General features: G+C 35.0%; 1 protein-coding gene across 2 annotated transcripts in view; it reads left to right on the top strand.

Annotated features, from left to right (window-relative positions):
• The window catches only part of ABCA10 (ATP binding cassette subfamily A member 10), a 96,842-nt gene that overhangs the window by 74,657 nt on the left and 930 nt on the right, over positions 1–21,255 (top strand). For both annotated transcript variants that reach the window (NM_080282.4, NM_001377321.1), the window contains 13 exons: positions 5,109–5,228; positions 6,038–6,118; positions 13,269–13,360; positions 14,267–14,387; positions 15,056–15,173; positions 15,866–15,957; positions 16,183–16,361; positions 16,646–16,721; positions 16,793–16,887; positions 17,711–17,830; positions 18,009–18,149; positions 20,129–20,208; positions 21,104–21,159. In NM_080282.4, coding sequence (NP_525021.3) covers positions 5,109–5,228; positions 6,038–6,118; positions 13,269–13,360; positions 14,267–14,387; positions 15,056–15,173; positions 15,866–15,957; positions 16,183–16,361; positions 16,646–16,721; positions 16,793–16,887; positions 17,711–17,830; positions 18,009–18,149; positions 20,129–20,208; positions 21,104–21,159 — 1,371 coding nt within the window. The remainder of the gene's footprint in view (positions 1–5,108; positions 5,229–6,037; positions 6,119–13,268; positions 13,361–14,266; positions 14,388–15,055; positions 15,174–15,865; positions 15,958–16,182; positions 16,362–16,645; positions 16,722–16,792; positions 16,888–17,710; positions 17,831–18,008; positions 18,150–20,128; positions 20,209–21,103; positions 21,160–21,255) is intronic.

Genomic DNA, 21,255 nt, shown 5'->3' with positions numbered 1-21,255 from the left:
CTCAGCTTCCTGAGTAGCTGGGACTACAGGTGTGCGCCACCATGCCCAGCTAAATTTTTTATTTTTAATAAAGACAGAGTTTCACCATCTTGGCCAGGCTGGTCTTGAACTCCTGACCTCAGGTGACCCGCCTACCTTGGCCTCCCAAAGTGTTAGGATTACAGGATTGAACCACCGTGCCCGGCCAGAAAATCCAACTTAATTTTTATAGAATACTGAAGATATATTGCTATATATTTTGTTAGAGCAATACCTTTAATAATTACAAATACTATGGCCACGAAATCTTTGAGGAGATTCTGAAGTATACACAATGTTTATAAAATAAGCTGATGAAACCCTGAGCTTATTTCAGTTTATATTGTTTATTCCTTCAGAAAATTTTTCTTGTACATACGGAAGAAACACTGTTTATATGCCTTTTTGATACGTATCATATTTATATATCCACTTGTCCATATCATTATCTCACTGCTTTGCAGTGCTACCTTTGTTATCAATCAAGACTATTCCTGGCCTTTCTGATTTCTTCCATTAATCTGTTTTTCTATTTGTACATCAATACCATGCTGTCTCAATTATGGTAGCTTTATTTGAGAGAGCAAACCTTCCCACCTTGTTCTTTTTTAAGTATCTTGGCTGTTTTTGATTCTTTGCATTTGCGTGCACTTTTTAGAATCTTCTTGTCAAATTCCACAAGAAGTGATATTAATTGGGATTGCATTGAATCTATAAATTACTTTGGGGGAGAAATGATATCTTTACATAGTGAATCTTCCAGTTCACAAATGTCTGCTTCTCTGTTTTAGGCTTTTAGAAACATCTGTTTTGTATATATAAGTTCATGGTATCCAGTACATTATATATTGACTTGATGTATGGACAGTTGACTGATACAATATCCCTTAGGAAAGTATAATGATTAAGAATTTTGGCTCTAGAGTTAGATAGCCCCAGGTTTTAATCCTCAGTGGTCTGGCACTTAGTAGCTATAAGAAATTGAACACATTATTTCAGTTCTTTTGAGGTTCAGTTATTTAAACATCAGAATATATGTATAATAACAGTAGTACTTTCTAGTGTTTTAGGATTGAGATTTTAAAAGAGCATAAACTATTATAGTGCTGGTAAACTGCTCATTAAAATATCTGATAAATAGTAAATGTTCATGAAGTACTCAATAGGAATTATTATCCTCTTCTTCTGTATTAGTCTGTTTTCACACTGCTGATAAAGATATACCCAAGATTACAAAGAGGCTTAATGGAGAACTCACAGTTCCATGTGGCTGGGGAAGCCTCACAATCATGGCAGAAGGCAAGGAGGATCAAGTCACATCTTACATGGATGGCAGTAGGCAAAGAGAGAGCTTGTGCAGGGCAACTCCTGTTTTGAAAACCATCAGATCTTGTTGGTCCCATCCACTATCATGAGAACAGCACAGGAAAGACCTGCCATCATAACTCAGTCATCTCCCACTGGGTCCCTTCCACAACACATGGGAATTATGGGAGCTACAAGATGAGATTTGGTTGGGAGACAGAGCCAAACCGTGTAATCTTCCTTTTCTTCCTCCAATTTTATTCCTGTAACTACAGTAACTATTTAACAAAGTGTTTTGTATCAACTGCACTGTTAATATGCATATTTTTTGATTATTTGGTGAATAAAAACAGAGAAATAGAAATCCTCCTTATTGTTTGCCCTTCCCAATATTTATTCATTCATTCATATTGATTGTATCTTCCTATGTGCCAGATACTTTGCTTGGGATATAACCATGAACAAAGCAAATTTTCTGCAATCAGAGGACTTAAATTCAATGGAATATAAAAGAGAATGATTCCTGTTCAAATCAAAATATATTTGACCCTTGAACAACGTCGGAGTAAGAGGCACCAACCCCCTACCCTCATGCAATTGAAAATTCATGTGTAACTTTTGACTCTCTAAAACTTAACTACTCATAGCCTATTGTTGACTGAAATCTTACTGATAACATAGTTGCTTAACGTGTATTTTGTATATATATATTATATACTGTATTCTCACAATAAAGTAAGCTAGAGAAAAGAAAATGTTATTAAGAAAGTCATAAGAAAGATATATTTACTATTCATTAAGTAGAGGTGGATTATCATTCTTGGTCTTCATTCTTGTTGTCTTCATATTAAGTAGGCCAAGAAGGAAGAGAAGGTAGAGCAGGAGTTGGTCTTGCTGTCTTAGGGGTGTCAGAGGTGAAAGAGGTGGAAGAGGTGGAAGGGGAGGCGGGAGAGACAGACACACATGGTGTAACTTTACAGAAATATATTATAATTTCTGTCTTACTTTTTGCTTTTTTATTTCTCCAAAAATATCTCCATATAGCTCCAATCCTTTTCCCTCTGTTTGCTTTTGTTTCAGTGCCTGTATCATAGAAGATTCCATGTCATAAAATAAGTCAAAAGGAGCCTTGAATAATCAGAATCCTTCTTTCAGATTGTCTAATGTCAATTCTTTTTCTGGCACTGCTTCTTCTACATCTTCTTTCTCATCATCTGGCAATGGAAACCCTCCTTTCCATCAAATTGTCTTGTGTTAATTTCTCTGGTGTGGTGTCTATTAGTTATTGAATTTCTCCAAGATCCAGGTCTTGAAACCCTTCACTCCCCACCCTATTTGCCCTGTCTACAATCTCTTTTTTATTTCTGTGTTTAGTTCTATTGTAAATCCTGTGAAGTCATGCACAACATCTGGACACAATTTTCTTCAGCAGCAATTTATTGTTTCATGCTTGATGGCTTTCACAGCTCTTTCTATAACAATGGCATCTCCAATGGTGGAATCCTTCCAGACTTTCATGATGTTCTCTCTATTGGGTTCTCTTCTATGATGTTGACAATCCTTTCCATAGAGTACTGTGTGTAATGAGCCTGAAAAGTTCTTATGACCCCTGATCTAGAGGTTGGATTAGAGATGTGTTTGGGAGCAAGCAGACCGCTTTGTTGCCGTCAGTGTTGAACTCACATGGTTCTGGGTTAGCAAGGGTGCTGTCCAGTAGCAAAATAACTTTAAAAGGCAGTTCCTTACTGGCAAGATACTTGCTGACTTTAGGGACAAAGCATCCATGGAACTAATCCAGAAAAAGGGTTCTCATTGTCCAGGCCTTCTTGTTGTATAACCAAAAGACTGGCAATTGGTGTTTATCTTTTCCCTTCAAGTCTTGAGTGTTATCAGCTTTTATAGATAATGGCAGTACTGATCATCAACCCAACTGCATTTGCACAAATAGCCTATCCTTTTCTACGTTAAATCCTGGTGCTTGATTCTGTTTTCTACTAATCAGTGTCCTTTGTGGCACTTTTCCCCCCAGAATAGGGAGGGCACTTCCATCTGTATTAAAAATGCGTTCAGGCAGATACACTTACTCTTCAATGATTTTATTAATAGCATCTGGGAGCTTGTCTGCTGCCTCTTGATTGGCGGAAGCTGCTTTCTCTGTTATCTTGACATTTTTTAAGTTAAACCTCTTTCTAAAATTAACAAAGCATCCTTTGAGGGCATTACATTCTCCAGCCTTAGATCTTTAACCTTTTATTTAAGTTGTCATATAATGACTTCACTTTTTCTCAAATTGTATTAAAGCCTATAGGTATAAAAGTTGGATCATCAATGTGAGATTTCAAAGTATTTCAAAAAAAGTGCAAGGTTTTTGTGCCTGCTGGTGTGGCTACAGTGACAGATGCATAAATATCCTTTTCTTATTTTACAATGGTCCTTACACTGGATTTATTTATTTTGAAATGGCAGGCAACTGCAACTGCAGACCCCAATCTATGGTACATATCAAGCAATTCAACCTTTTTTTTTTTTGTAATCTCATGACTTTTCTCTGCTTCTTGGGAGAACTTCTGGAATCACTAGTGGCAATTCCTAGGTCCTACGGTATTATTCAAAGTTTATGGTATTGCACTAAACACAATGAAAGATCTGCAAGAACCATGAGAAGCCACTTTTTACTGAGATATGCCATTTGCTTGAGAATAAGATGATTAGCCTCACACAGCATTTTAAGGGAATATTTACAACACTTGAGCTCATCACAGTAGCAACATGAGGTGACTACAAAATTATTACAGTAGTACAGTGTGTTCTACAGTTAATTTTATGCAGTCATGATTTAATTCTGCATCTTTATGTTTACATTTTTCTTGATTGCTAATGGCAACATGTATGGTATGTAAGAGTTTCTATGCATGTTTTGATATAGTTTAACTTTTCATAATAGATTTGTTTATAGTTTACAGTGGTAAATGACAAAATAGACTAATATCTACATATATTTTATGCATTCATGATATACCTAATTTTTCTTTAATTTTTTTCAATATGTCTAGACAATGTGGTTCATCTGTGAGGTTTTCAAATTGTCACAAATCTTCCCCCAAATTTCTAACATATTTATTGAAAAAAATCCACCTACAATAAACTAATGTTATTCAAGAGTTAACTGTATATACTCTTTGGAATGTCATATGAATTTTGAATGGCAGAAGAACTGGAGCCAGGGAGCCATTTTAGGAAACGACTAACAGTCTGAGTGGGGATATGGGCTGCCCTTTAAAGTGACAACCATATAATTTACCTCTGGGAATGTTCTAAACTGTTCAATATTCCTACCTTGGATATCAAGACTGATAATTCTTACATTTCTCTGACTGCTTAGATATGGCAATAAACACCAACCTCAAAGTTTATTTTGCCTTTTAAGTTCCCAAGTCATATCATCAGTTAATTCTTCACTGTATCCTTGTACTGAAAACATATTAAGATTTATTATAATAGACAAAATAAATAATGTTACATCACCTTCTTTTATTGTTGCTGTTTATCCCTACTGGGTATTGCAAAATCTTTAAGGTATTTATGACAGACCTTATTGTAATCCTATGTTTTAGTTGCAGTGAAAGTTTGAGACTTCCTAAAGAGGATATCCTAAGAATATTTCTATCTGTGAGGTAAAAGTTGAAAATGGCAGTATCTCCCAGGAAAACAGGTTATTCACAGGAAATATCTTAAGATATCAAATATAACTGAGAAAATTATAATACTTCTGGATTTTTTTCTAGATCTTAATATGTGTATCCACAATTATGGTATCAACTCAATATGAAAAACTCAACTTAATTTTGTGCATGATTTTCATACCTTCCTTCACTTTGCTGGGGTATGTCATGTTATTGATCCAGGTAAGCAGTGTTACCTACTGTGTCTCCAGTCTTGACCTTGTAGCCCATTAATAAAATCCTTACCCATTGTCGGAACAGGTGCATTTATAAAATTTTGAAGTTATTCAATGCTGATAAATTCTAAAAATAAGATTTTAAAGCTGTATAAAATTGAAAGCTGTCAAATTTGCTGAGATCACTATTCATACTAGCAGGAAGAGGGTCAATCCATGCAGAAATACAGCAGGAAGCCCAACCGTGGTTTATGAATTCCAGAGGTGATTCTGAGACAGGACTAAAACTTTTCCATTGTTATAAAACATGCTCTCTTGTGGTGAATCCATCTTGCCAGGGGATAGAAGTTTTTCATTTCAATGTTGATCAATGTCTAAAATCTTATTGGACTTATTGATTGCATACTACTTAGTGTCAATAAATTGCTTTTGGAGTGTATGACTTGTGAGTGAGGGAAAGAAAACATGATTCTATTAACCACTTCTGACAGAAACTAAATACCACTGAGAATTTTGGGGAACTGTGGGCAAATCTTGCCTACTTCATAGTTCTGTACTTTGTCACTCCCACTAAAGAGAAACTTGGAAATCCCTATTACATACAATTGGAAAATAAACAGTGTTGGAGTTCATAACTAAGGAAAGATGTCAGGTCATCAGTAGACTTTAGCATCAGAAAACAACTCTTCTCATCTCAATTCATGGAATACTTACTGTTGTCCCATAGAACATCAAGTATAATGTGGGTGTATTTAATGTGTAAATTTTATATTTATAGAGAAACTTGCATTTAACTGTTGGTGGGTTTTTTTTCAGCTCGACTTTATGAGAAACTTGGACAGTCTGGACAATAGAATAAATGAAGTCAATAAAACCATTCTTTTAACAACCTTAATAGTAAGGAACATTTTCTACCTAAATATATATATTGCATAAGATTCATAGCCCCGTGAAATCTTATTCAAGGTATGCCAAATTTAAATGTCTTAAAATACCCACTCTTTCTGTATTTTCCATTCCAATATAATGGCAGCAAGAACTAAAGATATTTTTAAAATAGATTCACAGATAATATAATACATACTAGAACATTTAAAGGTTTGGTTGCTGTTATTGTGATAGACATTGTTGATATGTATCCAAAGACAATTTGAGGCAGTATGTAAGAAATGCAGCATATGGTGTATGGCTCAGAATCAAGTAAATATGTGTTAATAACAACTAATTTGAATAATGAGGAGGAAAGGAGAAAGATTAAATGAAATTTTATAGTGGGGAAAGACAATGAAAGCGAATATAAATGTTATTTCTGTGTATTATGGCAAATGAGGCAGAAGGAGGAAACATACTCTTGTTTGCACACCTCTTGTTTCCTCTTTAATAGCAGAACAGCAGTTTATCAAGGAAGAAACCTCTAAATTTGTTTTGATTTATAAACTTTTATACATTTTTACCTGGGTCTTTGTATAATGAATGTATATTTTTCCTGTTTTGTAAATACATGCAGAGATGTTCCATATATAGTCATTTTTAATTGACCATTGAATTCTAAAGGCATACAGTTGTCCAGCTGGGGAATATATGTTCATTGCAACTCTGACACAGCAAACAAACCCTGGAACCTTCAAGACTTAATAGGGATTTATTTTTCAAATAAATTCTATTGTGTATTTGGCTGCGCACCTCCATTTGGTGGCTGTGCTTTTTGACACCCCTCAATCTTCAGGGTTGCCTTTGCAGTGGAAGAAAAGGTTAGAACATTAGACAAGATGGGACTCCAAAATCCTCATGGGAAAATGGAACTAAAAGTTGAAAATAAAAAAATATAAATTTTGGCCAGGCGCAGTGACTCACGCCTGTAATCCCAGCGCTTTGGGAAGCCGAGGTGGGTGGACCACCTGAGGTCAGGAATTCAAGACCAGCCTGGGCAACATGGTGAAACCGCATCTCTACAAAAATACAAAAATTAGCTGGGCGTGCTGGCATGTGCCTGTAATTCCAGCTACTCGGGAGGCTGAGGCAGGAGAATCGATTGAGCCAGGAGATGGAGGTTGCAGTGAGCTGAGATTGTGCCATTGCACTCCAGCCTGGGCAACAGAGAGAGACTCCGTCTCATATATATATATATATATGTATATGTATATGTATATGTATATGTATATATGTAATTTTTTCAACATAAACCCCATCAAAGTGAGGACACTTTTGTAAGCAACGATACCAATCATTTAGTTCATTCCTACAGAACTGAGGATCCTGGGAATTTAACCTTGTCATTGAAGTATCTTTTACGTTACTAACTGAACAAAAATGGGTGCCATTTACATATATTTTAAGATTAGGAAACAAAAAGAATTCAGAAGGAGCCAAATCAGAACTGTAGGTGGATACCCCTCAATAATTTCCCAAAGGAACTCTCACAGAATTGCCCTTGTTTGATGAGAGAAATGAGCAGGAACATTGCCATGATGGAGAAGGACCTTCTAGTAAAGATTTCCTGGATGTTTGTCTAACTTTCTCAAAACACTCTCATAATAAGCAGATGTTATCATTCTTTGTCCCTCCAGAAAGTCAACAAACAAAATGCCCTGAGCATCCAAAAAACTGTTGCCCATGACCTTTGCTGTTGACTAATTCACTTTTGCTTTAACTGGACCCACTTCTACCTTTTGGTAGCCATTGTTTTGATTGTGATTTGTCTTCAGAATCATACTGGTAAAGCCATGTTTTATTTCCTGTAAACAGTTATTCAAAAAAATTGCTTCAGAATCTCGATCCCATGTGTTTAAAATCTCCATTGAATGCTCTGCTCTTGTCTTCTGCTAACCTGGGCACAACAGTTTTGTCCTGCACTAAGTAGAAAGTTTGATTAACTTTAATTTTTCAATCGGAATTATGTGAATTGAATCAGTTGAGATGTCTGTGATTTGACTATTGTTTCTGCTGTTAATTGTCAGTCCTCTTCAATTAGGAGATGAAAGAGATGAATTTTTTCCTCTCAAATTGATGTGGATGGTCTGCTGCTATAGGACTTATTTTCAACATTGTCTTGTTCCTTCTTAAAACCACTTAACCATCTGTAAGTTGCTAATTTCTTTGGGCCATTGCCCTCATAAACTTTTTTACAGCATCGATGATTTCACCATTCTTCCTTCCAAGCTTCTCCATACACTTGATGTTTGTTCTTGCTTCAGTTTTAGCAGAATTCATGTTCTGATAGGGGCTCTTTTCAAATGAATGTACCTATTTTCAAATGAATGTACCCTTCTTAGTACCTCAAACCAGATCCTGTTCAAACATATTATAAGAAGTTAGGATGAGTTTATTTTGTTGCCCCCCAAATTTGAAATCCACACATAGGTTTTTCATCATATGAATTTTTCATGGTATTTTTGAAGTCCCCTTGTTTTAACGGCCAGGCCTAGAAGCGGCTTTCGTCACATCCCACCACATTATACTTCATGGCTATTTACCTATTTGTTTCTAGTCAGTGACCTGTGGTGGTAAAAACAACTGCAATTATTTTTCACATATAAGTTTTTTCAGCTTTTCAAATTGTAATAAAAAGACACGTAACATAAAATTTACCATCCTTATGATTTTTAAATATATAGTTCAGTTTTTTAAGCATATTTACAATGTTGTGAGAAGAATCTCCAGAACTTTTAATCTTGTAAATCTGAAACTGTATAGCCATTAAACAATTTCCCTTTTCCCCTTTGCCCAAACCGGTAATCACCATTCTACTTTCTGCTTCTATAAATTTTACTACTTTATATATCTTATATACATGAAATCATAAAGTATCTGTCTTTTTGTGACTAGCTTATTTCACTCTGTATAATGTTCTCAAGGTTTATCCATGTTGAGACATATGTCAAGATTTCACTCCTTTTTAAGGTTGAATAATATTGAATTATATGTATATACCATAATTTAAAAAATCTATTCATTCTGTCAATAAACATTTGCATTACTTCTACCTCTTGGCTATTGTAAGCTATGAACTTGGGTGTGTTAATCTCTCTTCAAGATGCTACTTTCAGTTCTTCTGGATAAATACCCAGAAGTGGGAGTGCTGAATTATATGGTAGTTCTAGTTTTATTTTTTGAGGAACCTCCATACTGTTTTCCATAGAAATTGCACCATTTTGCAGTCTCACCAACAGTGTACAAGAGTTCCAATTTCTCCACATCCTTACCAACACTTATTTTTTTATATAGTAGTCATCCTAATGGATGTGAGGTGGTATGCCATTGTGGTTTTCATTTGCGTTTCATTGACATTTAATGTTGGCCATTTATATATCTTCTTTGGAGAAATATTTATTCAAGTTATTTGGTTTTTTTGTTTGTTTGTTTGTTTTTCTGGAGTCTTGCTCTGTCACCAGGCTGGAGTGCAGTGGTGCAATCTCGGCTCTCTGCAACCTCCGCCTCTTGGGTTCAAGTGATTCTCCTGCTTCAGCCTCCTGAATAGCTGGGACTATGGGTGCATGCTACCACACTTAGCTAATTGTTGTATTTTTAGTAGAGAGGGGGTTTCACCATGTTGGCCAGGATGGTCTCAATCTCCTGACCTCATGATTCACCTGCCTCAGCCTCCCAAAGTGCTGGGATTGCAGGCGTGAGCCACCGTGCCCGGCCATTATTTGCCCATTTTTAAATTGGGTTATTTGAATTTTTGTTGTTATTGAGTTGTAGGAGTTTTAAAAATATATTCTGAATATTAACTCCTTATCAGATATATGATTTGAAAATGTTTTCTTGTATTCTGTAGGTTATCTTTTCACCATGTCAGTTGTGTCCTTTGATGCACAGAATATTTTAATTTGATGCAAACACATTTGTCTATTTTTGGTTTTGTTGTTTGTGTTTTTAGTGTCGTATTGAATAAATCGCTGTCTAGTCCAATTTTATTAAGTTTTTTTCTATGAGTTTTATAGTTTTAGGTCTTCCATTTAGGTCTTTGATCCATTTTGAGTTAATTTTGTGTATAATATAAGGCCTCCACTTCATTCTTTTACATATTGACATCAGTTTTCTTAGCACTATTTGTTGAAGAGATTGTCTTTTTCACATTGAGTGGTCTTGGCACCCTTGTTGAAGATTATTTGAGCATATATGGGAGGGTTTATTTCTGGGTTTTCTATTCTATTCCATTGGTCTATTTTAAAATAAAAATTTTATAGCTGATTTATTTATTTTATTGTCTCCCTTTTTAATGTAATGATGGCCACATTAAGGCAATTTGGAACAACTTGGGAATGATTTTATTTTGAAAAATTATTTTACTGGATATACAATTTTTGGATACTTTTTTTCTTTCAGTTCTTTGATTACATCATCACACTTTCTCCTGGCCTCCATTGTTTCTGAAGAGAAGAAATTGTATTGTTGCTTCTCTCTGAGTGATGAATCCTCTCCCACTTACTGTTTTCTCTGCCTTTGATTTTCAGCAATCTGACTCTGATGTGTCTAGATATGGATCTTGTTGTAATTATCTTACCTATGATTTGTTAAGCTCCTTGAATGTGTATATGAATATTTTTTAAAACAAATTTTGGAAGTTTTGGGCCATCATTTCTTAAAAAAAATTTTCTGTTCTTTCTCTCTCCCCTATCTTTTTGGAACTACCATTACATATATTTGGTATGCTTGATAATCTTTGAGGCTCTGTTTATTTATTGCTCATCATTTTTCTTTCTGTTCTTCAGATCAATTATATAATAGAAAGTCTGTATTTGAGTCATATTTTACTTTAATTTTTGAAATATGACTTTATTTAGTTTAGTGAATGTATAGTAGCTTTTCTACATCTTTGATAACACTCAAAACCAATTTCTGTTAACTAATTTTTTTTTCTGAATGTGGGTCACCCTTTCCTGTTTTATAATTTTTGCTGTTTCTTAAAATACTTAAATGTTTAATCTTCTGGATATATTTTATGATTTGTTTTTAGATATAGACTAACCTTTGTATTTTAAGTTTTTCCAAAAAAGGGCATTTAGTTATCTCAATGCCATTTATGAATACTCCATTTTATGTCTTCCAACATGAAATGACATCTTTATCAGTATTAAATTTGCTTATATCTATGGACTGATTGTGTTGATATTCTCCCCATTGATCCATTTGTTTACATCAGTGTCAGGACTACATTGTTTTAATTATGGTAGCTTTATATATTTTGATCAATTCAAAATGATACATATGTCCTATCATCCTAATTTTTCAAAACTTTTCTATTTTCCTACTCAATTTTATTGATGAAAATTAGAATGCAGTCAAGTGCCAGAAACTGGTATGTGGACTTTTATGGACATTATTGTTAATGTTTATTTTGCTAGAGCAGTATTTGTGAGTTGAAAATATTTATGTTTAAAGGTTTATCTGCATTTAAGGTTTATTTTATATACTTTAGTATTTTATTTTATATTTTTACTTTATTTCCCTTTTGTGTATATTCAGTTACATTTATTTATGTATTTATTTATTTGCCATAAAATTTTGTTCCCATTGCACGTTCTAGCTAGGTTTCTATACAAAAATATAAAATTCTTGTACAATTATCTTATATCAGTTTACCTTACTGAATTTTCTTATTTCCAATTTTTTTTTCAGATTCTTATCTTGCATTTTCCGGTGAAACAACCATGTTATGAAATAATTATATTTTTATTTTGAAAATATATACTGCATTATATATTCTTGCTTTATGACATTGGCTTGAATCTCTAAAAATCATCCACTAACACTAACACTGTTGCAAGAAGGCGTCCTTACATTGTTTCTGATTTTACTGAGAATTTTCTTAGTGCTTAACCATTATCATCATAGTAACTTTTAAAAATATAAACTATTTATCTTACTAAATCCCTCAATTCCTGAGTTACTGAGAGCTTTTGTCTTTTGTTTGTTTCTAGTATTTATCAAGAATGAATCTGGAATCTTCTCAAAGCCTGTGAGCCTCTGTTAAGAATGATTAATTTATTTTAAATAAAACCATTAAAAATTAATAAATTTTATTTTATATTCTGTAATGTTTAAGAAATCCCCCCCTCCCTAAGGTCAAGAAGATATTATTTTATATTATTTTCTAAAATATTTATATTTCCCTTTCACATTTATGTCTTCAATCATCTAAAATTCATTTTTTTTTTCCTGTGGACTTGTTTTATTTCTATCTTTAAGGATGTCCAGTTGTCCCAGCAGTTGAGACAACTGTTTTGAAAAGTCTGTGCCTTTCCCATTGATATTCAGAGCTACTTCTATTCATATATCAGTTGCCTATATATGTAGAGTCTGTTTCTGGGATAACTATTACATTTTGTTTGCTTCTGTCAAGTTCACAGGGACACTACCAGTCTGGTACCATGTTAAACCATGTCCTAGGCTTGAGGTTTTGTTTTGACCATCCAGCGATGTGAATTTGGGCTCCAAGTCTGTGTAAAAGCTGGCTTGTATTTCCACCTTCACTTTCTCCTTCCATGATGAGCACTCAAGGCAATGATGTTAGCAATATCCTGAGGGTTCTTTTCACCCCTCACTAAAAATATAACCCTTTGAGGTCCATCCTTTATTAGAGAAAGAGTGACCTATCTACCCCTTACTTGGGGAAGACTCTCTGCTTCAACAGTTTCTTCTGTCTTCTGCTCCTGGACATGGCATGAAAACGGAAGTTTGAGTATTTCAAGGATAAAGAATAACTCTAGGACAAGAGTTGCTTTGGGGCTAAACCTATCTCCTGTATTCATTTAGATTTGGCTTTAAAAGCCCATACTATTTTATTAGCTCTTCTATGCTTTTTAAAAGTTTTTAAAAAAATTAATGTGGGCTTTTTAATTCTTTCTCAGTGGGAGGGTGAGTTTGAATAAACCTTTCTTCCACATGAGAAGTATTTTACAAGTTGCTTGTCAAATTTAAAAGAAAATGATCAAATCTTCAAGAAAATGATCAAATCTTCTGTGACAAAAAAATGGACAAATATTCACCATTGAGTGTGAATGCCATGGTGATGCTAATTCTGATTATTTTTCTTTTCTTTTAGCCATACCTTCAGAGTGTTATTTTCCTTTTTGTCATAAGGTGTCTGGAAATGAAGTATGGAAATGAAATAATGAATAAAGACCCAGTTTTCAGGTTGGGAAAATATTAATTGAGATCTGAATATAATCTAAATATTTAGTCTTTTTAAATTTATAATTTCATTTATTTATTTGTTTTTGTTTTTGAAAATAGAAACAGGGTTTCAGGTTGGGAGAATACTAATTGAGATCTGAATGTAATTTAAATATTTAATCTTCTTAAATTTATAATTTTATTTGTTTTTATTTTTGAAAATAGAGACAGGATCTTGCTATATTGCTCAGATTGGTCTCAAACCCCTGACCTCAAGTAATCCTCCTGTTGTGATCTTAAATATTTAGTCTTTATTGCAGTACATTTAACATCAGTTTATTAAAATGGATTTACTACCCAACACTTGGCTAAGCATATTGCACAGTGCTATTTTCAGAAAAAGAAAACAGAATTAGATTGGATGCAGGGATAGTTTCTAAGTCATAGGTTCTGATTTTAGGCAAGATAAGTTTTTGTCCTGTACATGTCTGTAAGTAGTGTTTAAGCATCAAAGCTTGCTTTTCTCCTGGTTGTGGCCATTATGGGTCCCTAAGGAGAAGGTACAGTAAAAACTGGTTCCATATAAAACCAGTTAGGATGATCTTTTATGAGGAATGTGGTCATGATCTGGATGGTGACAGACTAAAAGACCCGTATGTCTACATTTGAGTGATTTAAAAGAACGAAGTGACAGAGCCAGTTGACAGATAGGATACAATGTTTTAAAGAGAAGAAATAGTCAAAGAATATTTCAAGGGACTTGGCTACCGGAGGTGTTATTACTGCCAAGAAGAATCTTGTAGGTAATAAATTAATGATGTGATAGTCTTTTTTAAAAAGGATAATAATTTAATTATAGGGGTTTACATTTTCTTAACAGTTGTACAGCCAAAATTGCATTTTTATGTTATTTTATTTCCTCTGTAGAATCTCTCCACGGAGTAGAGAAACTCATCCCAATCCGGAAGAGCCCGAAGAAGAAGATGAAGATGTTCAAGCTGAAAGAGTCCAAGCAGCAAATGCACTCACTGCTCCAAACTTGGAGGAGGTGAACAGCAGGGATTAGACCCTTAATAAAATGCTCAGATAGTTTGTCCTCTAGAATTGATGAGATGTTGGTTTTTATTTTGAAAAGCTGCTTTAGTTTCTTTAATATTTCTATTTATAGCTTATATTCAAATTATTCTCTTTAAAAGTAACTACCCTGTCCTCATTCTTTTAATTTTTTCTTCTTCAGTTTTCTGTGGGTCTTACTCTTCCAGCTCCTCATTCATCAGTGTAATCAACAAGTTCTCGAATTTTTTAATCAATTTTAGCAAAATCGCACATTTTTCAAGAGTTGCAATTACATTTTATATTATAGTATGCTTGTAATATTAATAACTGAATAGCATATGAACAAGAGCAAATGAATTTACAATGCATGGAAATCAATAAGGAATAAACTGGGAATGAAATTGTTGAAAGGGCAAAGATAGCTGCTAGCATAATGCAAAGGGAATGTATTTGATTAGGAATTAATTTTATTAGTAGTTGATTAAGTAGCCCTTATTTATGAACATACATTTGGGTATTTTATTTGAAAAAAGAGGCTAAAGCTCTTCAGCCTGGCATTAAATTTAGTTGGGTTTATAGACTAGGGAATGGAAAATAAAACATCAATTCGTAAAGTATCTGAAATTTAACAGGGAAATCATGCTTTGTCATGTTTTCCAGGAACCAGTCATAACTGCAAGCTGTTTACACAAGGAATATTATGAGACAAAGAAAAGTTGCTTTTCAACAAGAAAGAAGAAAATAGCCATCAGAAATGTTTCCTTTTGTGTTAAAAAAGGTTTGAACAATTGTTCCTTTTATTATTATTATAATGTTCCTTATTCTCTAGATTTAAGACTACAAAGGGGACAAATTTTTATTCATTGAGACTGTTCATATATCCTGGTTAATGTGTAATTATAAAACTTCTTCACATGTCAGCAGATAAGTCTTTTCTACTTCAAAATCATGTCCCAATTCAAATGGCAAGAAACCCAGTCTTGGATTAAGAAGACCCTGATTCTCTGTATTAATGTTGTAATACAGGAGATTTTTCAAGGTGCTAACTAAGCATTTGTTTCAGAAATGTTATTTTGAGGTGGCCACGGTGGCTCGTGCCTCTAATCCTAATACTTTGAGAGGCTGAGGCGGGAGGCTTGAGGCCAGGATTTCGAGACCAGCCTGGGCAACATAGCAAGACTCCATCTCTACAAAAAATTTAAAAATTAGCTGGGTGTGGTGGTGCATGCATGTAGTTCTGGCTACCTGGGAGACTGATGCAGGAAGATCGCTTGAGCCCAGGAGATCAAGGCTGCAGCAGGCAATGATTACACCACCACAGTCCAGCCTAGGCAACAGAGCAAAACTCTGTCTCTGAAAAAAAAAAAAAAAAAAAAGTCATTTTGTTTCAAAATGTTATGCAACCAACCAAGCAATTTTAGATTAGTCAACCTTGAAAATTCAAATATTGATGGTGACTCTTTCTTCCAGGTGAAGTTTTGGGATTACTAGGACACAATGGAGCTGGTAAAAGTACTTCCATTAAAATGATAACTGGGTGCACAAAGCCAACTGCAGGAGTGGTATGTGACATGTGAAGGAAATTTTATTTTAAATATTGATGACATCTTTCTATTATTCCTATCAGTAAATCAAATATCTTTTTAAAAAATAGATGAAAGAATTTATAAAATTTCTCTTGCGTATTCAAAAAATATTGTAGCTTAATGGCCACTTTTATCTCCTTTAGTAGAAGGGGGATTGGAGCAAAAACCAAAGGTGAATCTGACATTCATTGTCTTGTGCAGGTGGTGTTACAAGGCAGCAGAGCATCAGTAAGGCAACAGCATGACAACAGCCTCAAGTTCTTGGGGTACTGCCCTCAGGAGAACTCACTGTGGCCCAAGCTTACAATGAAAGAGCACTTGGAGTTGTATGCAGCTGTGAAAGGACTGGGCAAAGAAGATGCTGCTCTCAGTATTTCACGGTACAGAGAGAAGTCTCACAATTTGTAGCAGGAGGAAGGGGAAAATATGTCATTTCTTCATTATATATTAAAAGGAAATTATAAACAATGTCTTTAAATTTTCATGCAAATAAAATGATTCAAATACCTGAATAAGAACCAAATCATAAGATTTAGCATTTATGAAAACGTTAAGGAAGCTTAAATTTACTATCTAGAATAATAGTGCTTAGAGTTTCCTACAGTTGTTTTAGATAGGTCCATTTGCCATATACTTCATGTATAATCACACTGTTTTTTGTCAGATTGGTGGAAGCTCTTAAGCTCCAGGAACAACTTAAGGCTCCTGTGAAAACTCTATCAGAGGGAATAAAGAGAAAGGTATGGGCCAGGCTCGGGGTTTCCCTGTGCACCCATGGCTGGGTGCCGACGGGCTGTTCCTTGCATTGCAGCTGTGCTTTGTGCTGAGCATCCTGGGGAACCCATCAGTGGTGCTTCTAGATGAGCCGTTCACCGGGATGGACCCCGAGGGGCAGCAGCAAATGTGGTAAGGAGAGTGAATATTAAGTGTCAGAGTCAAGAGAATACCTCTAGGATATTTTGTTTTTGTTTTTGTTTTGTTTCTTTGTTACATTTTGCTCCATTAACCTTTGATGTGCACATCTTCTATTATGTAATTCAGTGAAACCTAATATAGCATTCAAAATTCCTGCAGGAGGGAAAAAATAGATATTTTAAGACCCAAATAAACTCTTGATTATATTTGTTTGGATTTCTCTTTCTTATTCCTCTTCCCCCTGTCTTTTTATTTTTCCATTTCATTTTTCAGTTATTGAAAGTCATATAGTATGATGTTTCTGTATTTTTTACTCCAACTTTCCTACTTTTCTTCCCCAATAGTGCATTATTTTAACCAATACTCTTCTTTTTTATGAAGCCTATTAATATGGTACTATCATTAGGCAATATAACACAATTTCTATTCTTTTTCTCTATGGCAAAGATTTTCTCTTGTAGCCTATTTATTTATTTATTTATTTATTTATTTACTTAATTGTATTACTTGACACAGGGTCTTTCTCCATCACCCAGGCTGGAATGCGGTGGTGCAATCACAGCTCACTGCAGCCTCGACCTCCTGGGCTTAAGTGATCCACTCATCTCAGCCTCCCAAGCAGCTGGGACCACAGGCATGTGCCACCATGCCTGGCTAATTTTTAAATTTTTTTGTGGAGATGGGGTTTCACCATGTTGCACAGGTTTCTTGCATCCTAACATAACATTTTCTCTTTAGATTTCCTGCTTTTTTCTATTTATCTATTTCCCCAAATTACTTTCTAAATGCAAACAATCCCTTACTTTATCTTTAGGCAGATACTTCAGGCTACCGTTAAAAACAAGGAGAGGGGCACCCTCTTGACCACCCATTACATGTCAGAGGCTGAGGCTGTGTGTGACCGTATGGCCATGATGGTGTCAGGAACGCTAAGGTGGGTGCCTGTCCTGACCAGCATGGGACTAGCATGTTCTTATAGAGAGAGTTTCAGTTTGCTATGAACAGCTGATGCTCTACAGCTCCCTAACCTGTAATTAAACACCTTCCTCTACAGTGAGAACCGAGGAAGAAATTAAGAGACAAGTATTTTTTCTTTATTTCCCCTGAACTAGGTGTATTGGTTCCATTCAACATCTGAAAAACAAGTTTGGTAGAGATTATTTACTAGAAATAAAAATGAAAGAACCTACCCAGGTGGAAGCTCTCCACACAGAGATTTTGAAGCTTTTCCCACAGGCTGCTTGGCAGGAAAGGTAAAGGATGTTTTCGGTTTGAGTGACAAGTATGAGTGTTTTCCAGTATTAGCATCAATTAGTTTTGTGCTAGTCTAAACCGGAAGAGAAAGGCAGAGTGGACTTATTCATCACAAAACAACCTGTTTGAGGATTGCTAGGATGCGTTACAAAAACTAAACAGTTATTTTCAGTGAGTGTTTTAGACCTCAGAAAAGGTGAATGGTGTGTGTGTGTGCATTCATATATGTGTGTAAATGGTGGAATGGCTTGGAGATTAAGAACAAAGTACAGACAAATTAAACTATCAACTTTTTAATGATTTTTAAAAAATAGACAATGAAAACAATGCTTTCACCTACAGGATTTTGCTGAATATAAATTGCATCAAGAGCTCCGTAACACAGACTTCCATGCTTGAGAAGGATTGACTCTATCCTAAATTATTCAATTATAAATCATTTGATCCTCCCAATGTTTCTTTTAAAGTTGTATGTGGTCAACCATGTGTTACAAGTAATGGTAATCAAACCCTTGTGAATAGCAGAATGAGGCTGAATTTAATTGAAAGATGAACAGAATTTTCTTGTATACCATTTCTACTCATTTATTTTTATAATATTTGTTATATTTATTGAATACGTATTATCTGCTGCCGGCTGTGTATTGAATAGTCAACAAAATAGACAAGGTTCTTCCTTTTGGAGGTGAAGATATTAAGCAAATGAAGATACAAATAAATGAGGATATGACATTGAGGTAGGACTTTAAGACTGAGCAGGGTTTGGTCAGCTGAAGAGTGGGAGTAACAGACACTGTTTCCAGGAAACAGCACATTTAAAGAACTTAGGTCAAGAATGAATTCTACAAATGTCAAGGATGAAACAAAAGCTCATGTAGTTGATGTGTAAAGAGATATCCAAGTGGAGATGCCAAAGTAAGAGATGTAGACCTGTGGCTCACAAGAGAAGGAAGAGGTCATTGAGATCTGGTCTGGCAACAAACAAAGTGGGGGATTTTTTTTACCATATAGAAGACCATTAAACTAGGAGAATGTTGAGGCCAACAAGAGAGATAGGAAGTCGGATGAACCCCAGGAGCTCTCAGCTTTGAGATGGGATTGAGGAAGAAAATAAATCTTCCTGTGTGGACAGTACCACCACAACCATACCAACAAAGACTGAGGAGTATCTAGAACAGCATTGGCCAGTAGAATTTTTGTGATAATGAAAATGTCCTTTCTGTGCTGTCCAGGATGGTAGTCACTACACATACGTAGCTACTGAGTACTTCAGATGTGGCTGGTGTGAATGAGGAGTTGAATTTTCAATTTTATTTATTTTAATTACTTTAAATAGCCACATGGATTTAATAGCTACTCTATTAAGCAGTGCAGGCCTAGAGAGTTAGAAGGAAAATCGTAAGTGTGGTTGTCTCAGAAGCTAAGAGAGAAAGAGTATGTTTGTTTTAAGGAGGGTGTGTACAATTTTATTTAATGCTTTTGAAAAGTTTGCAAAATGAGGACTGAAGAGTGTTCCTTGGATTGTGCAACATGAAAGGGGGTCTGAAGGTCAAGAAAAAAATTTTTTTTTAGCAGGAGAGAGTTCAACATATTTTAATTTTTATAGGAGAGATTGAAAATTAAATCTCAATCTCTCCTATGAGAGAGGGGAAAGGTAATGTAAACATTCTAGAAAGGTTGCTTTTTGAGAGTAAGTAAGAAATATAGCACAATAACAAAGTGCAGGCTGAGTGGGAAAGATTCTTAATCAGAGCTATTTCTCAGAATTTATCTTTAACATAAAATTAGAGGCAACCAGATTTTTGTTGTTATAACTTTTTTTATGATTGAATCTGTAATTTCACACTGATTCATGCTATATCAAATCAGACACTTATTTAAAGAACACATTGAAAAATTATTTTACTTTGCCTATTAATTCCTCCCCCGTATTATCACACTGAAACTTAGTAATAAATCTCACTCTTCTTCCTGACAGATATTCCTCTTTAATGGCGTATAAGTTACCTGTGGAGGATGTCCACCCTCTATCTCGGGCCTTTTTCAAGTTAGAGGCGAGTAAGTTTGGGTATATATAAATAAGACTTTATGTATTGGTTGCATATTTTCATGTGGAATATAGACTATGTAATTTGAAGTAGAACAATGAAATAATCAATCAAAACTTGAAAAATCCCTACCAGGATAGTCATAACAATCTCAAAGGAAATGAAGTCATGGTCCTAGATGTTGGTTTGTTCCACCTGATTCTTCCTGTGCTGACCAGGAAGCCCAGCCACAAGTCAGTCAGGTTACTCTATCCTGCAGGATTGAATTGGGGTACCAGGGCTGTTTCTTACCATGACACCCGTGCATAGAATTGAAGGATAATTATGAGAATGTTGTCCCAAAGAATATCAAGGGGAGCTCTTGAGGTCTCTATGTTTCTAAAAGCCAAGGTACCAGGAGCAAATGTACAGAGGCAACAGTTGGAGGACTGAGTGAAGGTCAGCGAAAGAAAACACAGAGGGGTGAGGTGTAACAAGTCACTATTGAAGAGGGGCTTCTGAACTAGTTCCAGAGACACTGCGTATTTATGGCTATTGACGCAGAATGTACAAGTGTGAAAAGGGAGCCAGCATGGAGTGGACTCCTCTGTAGATTTACAAATATAGAATAAATTATTCTCGACAACTGATTTGGAGTCCAAAGCATATATGTAAAGAATCAAAAGGATAATACTAAAATAGGACACAAGGAGCTTTTTCGAGTTTATAGGAAACTGAATATGTTCATGCATGGCTATCTTTTATTAGCCATATCACCACTCTTCTTTATCCTTCAAGAAAATGTAATTATTTGGCCTATATCTTACAGTATCTAAACAATTTGAAGCTACTGTCTCTATTGTATGACTTTACAAACACTTGGTGAAAAATATATAAGCCACTAATGTCAGTCTCTTTACATGCAGTGAAACAGACCTTCAACCTGGAGGAATACAGCCTCTCTCAGGCTACCTTGGAGCAGGTGGGTTTTCATTGAACGAGTGAGCACCATCCAGATGACCTCTGTGTGAATCCATCTTTCAGACACACCCTGACATTTTTGTATCTTTTTTATTTT

Source organism: Homo sapiens, chromosome 17 (genome assembly GCF_000001405.40).
Source record: "Homo sapiens chromosome 17, GRCh38.p14 Primary Assembly".
Taxonomy (NCBI): Eukaryota; Metazoa; Chordata; class Mammalia; order Primates; family Hominidae; genus Homo; species Homo sapiens.
Note: the sequence above shows the minus strand (reverse complement) of the source record. Positions and strands in the feature narration are given on the sequence as shown.